Source organism: Homo sapiens, chromosome 14 (assembly GCF_000001405.40).
Source record: "Homo sapiens chromosome 14, GRCh38.p14 Primary Assembly".
NCBI lineage: Eukaryota > Metazoa > Chordata > Mammalia > Primates > Hominidae > Homo > Homo sapiens.
In genome coordinates, this window is record NC_000014.9 from 25,830,207 (window position 1) to 25,839,799 (window position 9,593).

Consider the following 9,593-nt stretch of genomic DNA (forward strand, 5'->3'; position numbering starts at 1 on the left):
TTTTCTCAACATTAGAATTGTTATTTTTCTTCTTTTCTTTTTTTCTCTCTGGTGGGTGGCTTTGTAAGGAAGAATCTCAGGGCCTTGTGGCACCTCAGCAGGGATGAGAAACTGATGTACTCAGTGATTGGTTTTTAGTTTATTCTTTGTTTCAAGGAAAGCTTATGCACTATTTCTGCTCCTATATCAACAGTAGCTGGCATATTTGTGTCAAATTTGCCCAACGTGCTTACTGCTTTCTTGGTCCAATGTAAATGGCAGTTCATTCTGGCATATGGGCCCAGACAATGGAAGCTGCTTTGGCAATTAGACTTAAGAGCACTAATTTGGATCTCATGAAGAAACAGGAATGGAAGCCACTGGCATACAATAAATATTTTGTTTGGTTTGTTTTCATTAGGTAGGTTAATTTAAATGGATATTCCTCATTACTATCTAGTTTTATGTTACTCTACATATTATATGTCATAAAATATAGAAACCGTTAACAAACAGTAAACTTCCAAATTGTTCCATCAAACTAGCAGTGAATATGCAGAGGGGTGCCAAGAAGTAGGGATGGAAGATTTTTGCCATTGTCCATAATCCCCTTCAGGCTATCCATTATTATTCCTGAATAGGTATACAATCATACACTCTAAGTAAAAACCATATGATTGCAATTCTTTAATTATCTCTCCCAATCAAATTGCTACCCATAATCTTTTCCAAAACAGAAATTTTGGAAATGCTACTGTTGCTGTTTCATCGACAACATTAGCTGGGACTTAATAAAGTATCAAACTAATAAAGTATCAAAAATATATTTCTGATATTCTGCTTTCCTTTTCAGGACAAAAGAAAAAAAGTCTCTGACAAGTTCTATAGTTCAGAGACTTGGTCAAAGACATTTCTCTCTCTTTCTCTTGGCCATGTCATAGCCTTTTCCAAATATGAGAAAAGCAATCATCAGTAGCTAGAAGAGTCTCTAGACTGAGGTATGTTGTTATAGTCGGGTCAGTTGAGCCTACTTTCAGCTTATTTCACATCACAAAACTGTCATAAGACCAATACTTTCTTTGGAACAGGTACATTCAAATGCCACCAGGTTGCAAGCCTGGGGCAAAGGAAGGTAAACTTGTGTCAGTGAGCACATCATGTTGCAAAGGCATCATAATAATTGTATAGACAGCAAAGGATTGCATTTCACTACTGTGTAGCATCAAATACATAAGGCAAATGCAAACAAACTACTGTCACCTACCAAGATTGGGAACCCGAGAGGAAAAATCCTAAACTGTTCATTACAAGCCTAAATGAGCCCGTTAGACTTACATTAGACTTAAGACAAAAGAGAAAGTAGTGCTACTGAACTGTCAGGGATGCAAAATTTCCTAATACCAGAGAAAGATCACCACAAATTCAAAAGCTGAGTCTATTGTATTAACTATGTTATTTTTAATTTGGAAAATTAATAAGGCCAATATTAATATTAGTATTGTTTTTATGAACTTATTAATAGAGGTGACAGAAGAAAAACCTGAACAGCATCATTTCCATATTTGTCTTTTTTTTCTTGCTAGGAGTATTGCTAAAACAAAATGAGATTTTGGAGAAACTTGTTTGTTTCTGGTATATCTGGTGCTGATCAAAAAGAATCAAACAGAAAAGAAACTTCCGGTAAAATTTTGAAACCTGATTTTCATCAGAAGTTTATTTTGATTTTATTATGTTTGATGCTACTGAGAGATAAGACAATCATGAAAGGTTTTGAGTATAGATTTTTAGAACTGAGTGATGAGCAAAACTGACAATTCATATTATTATCAAATCCTTTTGAGTCTACAAAATAGAAGGTTCCTTGAATTTTCTGACATCTTCACATCTCATCCTGACCCAGACTTAGAGGCTCTGACAAACATAAAAGTTGAAAAATACAAGCAAGAAAAAATTTTCAGCTGCAAACCTGTAAAAAACAAAGCAAAACCCACCAACCAACTAACCAAGCAAACAAAAAATAGTCTAATTCAGTTGAGGCTGAATAGTCTTTTTAATATAAGGTGGCTCCACAAGGGCATTTGATCTAAAATTGAACTAACATAAATAAGAAACTGAAGTAGAATGTAAATTGCAATGTTGAGAATTAGCTTTGCTTTGCTAGTTTCAGGTCAAAATGCAAACTCAAATCAGGAGAAGTATTTGTGTTGCCTAAAAATTTGTTGTACTTTTGTGTGTCCAAGTAATCCCAGGAAATCTAGCTAATTACCTTTAGTTTATTAAAAACATGATAAAGCAAAGGAACATCTAGATAGTCTCATGTACTCTGCACACAGCTCACAGCAGTACTACAACCTCTTTTGATTTGCTTCAGCAAAATGAAACCTCTTCCATTCAAGGATGCTTTCTTTTTTCACCATTGTCATCATGTGGCTATTATTACCACTATTATGACTACCACAATTTTCTGAATATTTGATAAGTGTACATTTAATGAGAGACATTAGGCAGGGGAAGCATGAAAAGCCTCCACCTCATTAGCCTGGATAACTTAACAGACTTAATCAACAACTGACGGCTGTCGTTTTTCCTGATCCTATTGCATCAGCAACATGGATACCATATGATTCAGACAGCTCCCTGTTCAAAGAGAGCTCTAAGCATATCATTGCTTCCTGGAACAAGACGGGTGCTAACACTTAGGAAATTCTATGTTTCTTCTCTGAAGCATCCCACCTCTTTAGGAAACAATCCCAGAAGAGAGCAAAACAGTTCATGAGTCGGAATGATGAGGCCAATAGTGAAAGGAGTTACAAACAAGTAACCAAGTAATCTTCATATTTGAGATGCTATTTATTTACTCATTTATTTATAAGGTATTTTCTCTAATCATAAAGGAATTAGAAAAGGGGTTTTAATTATTTAACTTCTTTGAGGACTAGCAAAAGAGTTGTTTCTTGTATTGTACTGTCTGGTAAGGGACTAGCTTTAACCATATTCTCAATGCTATGACAGATTTAAAGGGTGTTAGCACCACCAATGCCGAGTTTCTAACCTACCTTTTTATGCATGATGCTATTTAGAGCACTGTTTGGAACACTACAGGAGAAATGTATGGGGAAAGGAGCCTGGAGGGACACTGGCTTTAATTTTAATTTCTTCTGAATTAGATAGCATTTTAAAATCCCAAGTGTACACATTAGTCTACGAAGCAGGAATAATTATGAAAGTGCTCCAGCCATCGCTGCGTATGGCCAGGCTGCTTGCTAGAAGCAGGGATAGGGGACAGTGCAGAGTGGTGAGAACATTGTGTCCTGCATTAAGTCCTGCTTCCCTCAGAGGCTATGTGTCAGACGACTGGTACCCCGGTACTTCGGGCGGGTGAGCCAATTAGCACATTCCCTAGTCTGGAACTGTAGTTGCTGTGTATGTGATCTGCATACTAATTCATCTGAGATTTGACCTTCTGGGCGGAGAAAAACAAGAATCCCAGGTGAGAGAGAACATTGGCCTAGATTTTCCTATCCCTTCTCCTCTGTTCTTTATTTCCAGGCATCTTAACCCAGCTACTTTTTATGACTAACTCTGAGACTGGAAAAGTTTATTTCCCTTGAAAATTCAAATCAATGTATAGGATAAAAACTACCAAAAAAATCATAGTTTTTACCTCCCTCTGCTAATGTCAAAAATGCAATGCAGGTGCTCCTTGTACGATTGACACCCTTGGCCCACATGGGGGCAGTACTACGTAGTCAAAAGCCTCTGGGAGCTTTCAGGGCGTACAAAGAGTCTGGTTGGAGACAAATTTGAATGCATAAGGCAGAAGCAGGATAGTTTTTCATAAACACAAGATTCCTTAGAGCCAATCATTACAGCGTTCTAAATGTTCTTGCTGAAGGAATTAGGAAGGAAAGATGTCTACCAAATTTCCAGCTGCTGTTGCAATCACTTGCCGGGAGATGTTGGGGAAATTTTTTGATTGATGATTCCAGTTAATGCTACTTCTTTTAACATACACAATATGAAACAAACAAATTTTCATTGAATTATCAAATTATATTCCAGGTTTGTTCGAAACAGCAACAATATGTCTTAGATATAGATTTTTAGTTTCTTACTGTATGATACGATGAGTTGCTTTTTGGTAAATTTTCAGATAAAGAATTTCTAGGGAAGCTGTAAAAGTAAGAATGCATTCATAGCCAATGGACCAGTATATTGAGTGCATGGAAGTTATTAGTGGCTTGATGATACTGAATAAATGTTTCCTTCAGATCTCTTTTAAGTTACAACAGCTACATAAATAAACATTGGCCTTATTATGCACTCATCTTATCTGAAGGGTTTTTGATGTTGGGAGGGGAAATCTTTTCCACCAAGATACTTGGGATTGATTAAGTTGGTTACTCGTTAGGCATATTTTAGAAATCCATGGAAAGAGCTATAATGGTACATTGAGCTATAGTATCCCAAATCGTATAGTACTGAAAGACACAAAGTCACAAAGCATTTGTTTCCTTACTCAGAGGTGAGACTATAGCAAGTACACCTTTAGATGGTGTCTCATTTCAACCTTCAGAAAACAAATTTTGAGTTAGCTGATGAGCTCCTGATCACGTTAGGTTGTGTCAAAACAGGGACAATGAGTCATTAAGACAGTCTGAGGCACGGTGTCATGGTGCAAACTATACAAATTCTTACAGAAGAGTCAATGGGCTCTCATGATAGTTTCACTGAACAGAACAGAGGAGTATCTGCCTCTGACACCATCAGCATTGGTTCTTGATACCCTTCCTCTCTGTACTTCTTTTTCTTCCTCTGTCTCTTATCTTTTGGATAAAATTAAACACTGATTTCTCTCCGTCTTCTTCCTTAACTTTATTCCCCCTTTCTGCTGATACACATACCAGAACATCCAATTGCACCCATGGAAATTGTTTATCCCTGAGGGGATCATTTGGTACCCAAATGGCTATGGATCCTGTGCCAGAGCAACAAGAGTATTAGAGAAGATTCAGTGTTTGCTTTTACATTCATTTGTTTTTTTCAAAATCTCATTAGTACAAAGGTTATTTCTCCCATTAAACCAGCTACTTAGAATAAGGTATATTAAAAAGCACAACTTTTTGCTTGCTTTAACATGGTAGCTTGAACTGGCATGATGGAAACTATCTTCCTGTTTTGTGAGTGTTTTAAATATGGAAGAAAGCATCTGCTTTGCCTCAGTCTGGGATATGGTAGATGAAATTTCTCGGACTGATTTTTCTATTCTAGCTCAGAAAATGATTTAAATGGCTATGGATTTGAACCTTGCCATAATGTCACCATAGAGTCATCTGGAAAGTTGTGATAAGCAAGTGTTATGCAAAAATTACTGTGTCCACCCCAACCCTTCTGGAAGTCAGTACACGAGCTCCGCGTGACACTTAAGCAAAATTATACAATTGCTGTGTCTGTGTGGTCTGGTCTATTTTAATGAACATACAGGGAAGTGAATTGCATAGATGATATAGTGATAAACAACAGATTAATCTTTTTAATAACTTGAGATTTTGCTTGCTGGATTTTAATTTTTCTCTCCTCTAAAATACTAAGTAGAACTTATAACATAGTAATGTGGTTTTCTATTGCTTTTGGTGTAAAGAAATAGGATTAAGTTTAACTTACCCTTTTTCACTTATCATGTCTCTTAGGGCACCCACCTAAAAGCACGTTCTTCTTTGTGCTTTCTGCTCTGGCAGCACCAGACTCCACCTCTTCCAACCATACTTACTTCCTCTTCCTACTTCCAACTTGATCATTAGCAAGAGAGAGGGATGAATAAGAGGAGAAAGACAAAAAGTAATTAATTCACTGAAGTGCAGCTGCAAATGAATTTTTGAAATAAATTATTAATTTTCTCTTTAATATTTCTGCATTGATACTGCTCTGTATCTGGGGATTGGAAGTGAGAGCTGTTTTGCTTCACAGCAGCAATGCCCTGGGTAGAGACAGCAGCACCTCATTTTAACTAGAATGTGTTGTGCTAACGTGGTATTTCTCTAATCCATCAGCAACATGCTTTTAGCCAGCAGCATTTTAAATATGCGTGGATTTTTAAGTTTATGGCAGGTAGGGGAGGCATGCAGGATGGGGGCAGTTGCAATAAAGGAGGTCAGGTGCCTTATTTTCTGTATCTCCTGGTGCCAGCTTCCTAAAGCACTGAAATCAAAACAAAAAGCAAACGTGTATAATGATTCTTGAGGAAAAGGTGGCATCACAAATCCAAAATCTTTTTTGCTTATTTAGGAGGGAGAAAAGATGCTGAATTGTATAGGAGATGTTACAGTTTGGAGTATTGACTATCAACAACATGGAAAAGAATTATAAGTCTTTGTACTTCCTGACCAACCCAGGGCAGAGATCATGGAATGGTAGCAGGGTGACAGCACAGGTCTGCTCGATTATCTTCACTGGACTCCACGTCTTCAGTCGGCTTTGAATCCAGATTACAGAACGCATCTTTTATCACTCCCTTTGCTCAAATCAAATGTTATCAGGAAATCTGCTTTTCTTGACCTCTGTGGCATGTGGTTGGAAGGTAAACCTTAGCATTTTATGGAAAAACTATTTTTAGCAACAGAAAGCAATGGTGCTGCTGCTTTGTTCAAAGATGTTGGCTCCAAATGGCAGAGGAATGATTGTTTCCACTTAAAGTGATTGATATGTCTACATACACTTGAGAGATAGAATTTCATTACCTATTCTTTCTATGGGGACTGACTGAATACAGTTTCAAAAGAAATAGGGAGCAGATTTGTGTAACAGAGTATCATTTTCTTCAATGAAATGAAGAAAAAAATGCCAGTGTATGACTATGTGAGGGGAGAAATGGTGGATGTTAAATAAAGTGAACAAAGATATGGAAAGAGTGAAGAAACTAACACAAAAATTGTTCAATACATACCGTAATTAGGTTTTTAGCTTTCTGCCCAATGACAGTGAAATATTTCTATTGGTTCACTTGCAAAAGTATTTATTTTAAATTACCTGTAATGATCAAGCACATAAAAAAAATAAGTATTATAAAAGGCTACCTAACAGAATTCAATTCATTCCATAATAATACCTAAGAATTAATGCTTTCATTTTGTATGGCATTTGAAGACTTGGAAACTCAAGTTACCAATACCTTGCAGATGATTTTAGAAGAGAAAATTAAGAAATCCAAACTCTAATTTGGGGTCGAACATAAAGGAAAACAACTTAATGAGCTCTTAAAAATGTAATGCTCTTTTATAAAACAAGAAATACTTCTGCAACATAAAAATCTGTTTTCTCTCAAATGTTTTTCTCTAATGCTGTTTGGTTACCTCCTAAAGCCATTATTTCCAGCAGAGTCACAGAAATCCTCAGCTGTGTAGGCGGTCCCAGTAAATTTAGCAGCCAAGCCACATTTTGACATGTTAAGAATAGGCGTCTATAAATCTTCCCCAGCTTCTCCTGAGAAGATTAAATCTTTCTTTTCAAGAATTTGCTAAATTTCAGGAAATGCTGTAATGTAACAAATGACTTGTAGACAAGGCTGAAGAAAGAGTAGAAGATAATGGAATCTCTTTGTTCAAGAACCAAGGCCCCAGAAACTAAAGGAAACTCCTGAAAGTTCTACATTATCTACCAGAAAAGAGAGAGAGGCTGGGGCAAATGAAATCCATCTTCCTGCAGTAGCAGTTGGATTCATGAACAGGGACGTGTCACAACCTCTAAAGAAGTCCCTATGTTGTCAAGGGAGATTTCTGCTTTCACAACCCATTTCTTTAAAACAGAGATGCCACAAATAAACTTTCAATTAAAAGAGACCTTCAAATAGTCTGAATTGCCTTGTTTTTTTCTTATACCTAGCCAAACGGGGACCCAGGGCCCTGCCCTTTGTCTCCCAAGTGTACTTCAAAATGCATTTCCTAACCTTTCTCTGAACAAGAAGAGCTCCTTGGATCGAGTGACATCTGGAAGAGACTTAAGCTACCTAATATGAACATAATGAACTAGAATGTACAGCATAGAGAGATAAGGAACTTATTGCAGGAATATTGGGAAGAAAAGCGAATTGAAGAAAGGACTATAAGTAGGCTGTGGGAAGGTGAGAGCCAAGGTTTCCCCAAATACCCAAATGAAGGGGCATTACACCAGGGAGTGACTTTGCACCAATCATTTCCCAGGCATATATTATTTTTCTTCAATATTTCTAAATGCCAAGAAAAGATAGTCTAATTGGTTTTCCATGAGTCTTGGACTTACCCACAGGCTGAGGATAAAGCTGAGAAACACACAGCCATCAGAACCACATCAGATGATGGTGGAGTAGTTCTCTAAAAGAAAAATAGACCACTGTTACCAACAGAAGAAAAATAGATCTTGAACAGGAAGAAACAAACATGAGAAAAGAGATAGAATGCCATTAGACAGCAAGTTTAACTTCCTAGTCAGATCATTCTGGGGTGCAAAGCTGATCTTCATCTCTCTTATCAGCACTTGCTCATCTCCCCAGTATCTTACTTTTCCTCAGTGAGTAGGAAAGTTGCTTCATAACTCACAGAAGGATAACTTATATTCTATTGGATGGGGCAGGTGGAAAAGAAAGAGTGGGGATGCTCCAGAAATACGAACATCTGAGTTAGTCTCTACTCAGATTCATGCACATGGGACATAGATACCTAGGCACAGCTCCATATCCTCAGGAAGACCCCAGAACCACACGTTTATCTTTCTCTCATACCTTTGATTACCTATCTCCTACATCTACCTTCAAATTTTGAGTTTTGCTGTTTTAGATCACTGTCTTACAAGAACGTCTCTAACCATTAATTATTGGTACTACTCTGCTAAAAGCCCCTAAAGTGTGGTTATTTGTATCCCTCAGCATCTGTAGTTTCAAGATTATTTTCTCAGGATATCACTTTGGACAATAAATGCTTTTGTTCCTCTGCAGTGACCTCCAAACCCATATGCCAAGCCTGACTCATAAAAAACAAAAAGGACCCACAGCTTGAAGAATTAGTTTTTGAGAAAATATGTTTTCACCTAAGGACAAATATATATCTAATTTTCACTAGTTTCTGAGCTTGTTATTTATCTGTATCCAGGGCACCTAATTTGTGTTTAATACATGTTCATCAAGTAAATAACTGAATAACTGAGATAGAAAATGAATACATATTTACTTGTATCTGACTATCAACCCCTTCTAGAAAGTTTAGAGAAGCAATCTTAGAGGTTATCGTGTCTAACCCTGTCATATGTTATAAACTTGGGCATAGAGGCCAAGAGAAGGAGAATGACTTAATCTCAAATCTAATCTGTGACAGAGCAGAAAATCAAAGTCGGATGTTCTGAGTTTAAATCCAGTACTTATGACACTGTAACACCCAAGTAATTAAAGTTCTTTAAGTATGATATCTCATGTATATATAAATAGATACCGTTGAATAGACTAAAAACCCAGTGGGATTTAAAGGCATAGTGTTAGAATAATAAAGGCAGGCCTTGAGGTTGAGGTTTAGCCCAGAGAGTGCCTAATTACAACATTAGTCTTGTAAACAGAACAAGATGACCCATTCACGTAGAAGGAGAGAGTCCTT

The 9,593-nt window shown here is 37.0% G+C and overlaps 1 long non-coding RNA gene across 1 annotated transcript; it reads right to left on the minus strand.

Moving 5' to 3' along the window:
• Positions 1-2,801: 2,801 nt before the first annotated feature.
• LINC02306 (long intergenic non-protein coding RNA 2306) lies at positions 2,802-8,326 on the minus strand. The gene is made up of 3 exons (XR_001750924.2): positions 8,254-8,326; positions 6,923-7,005; positions 2,802-5,768 (listed from the first exon to the last, which is right to left on the minus strand). It is a non-coding gene; the product is annotated as a long intergenic non-protein coding RNA 2306 (long non-coding RNA).
• Between the last annotated feature and the right edge of the window lie 1,267 nt (positions 8,327-9,593).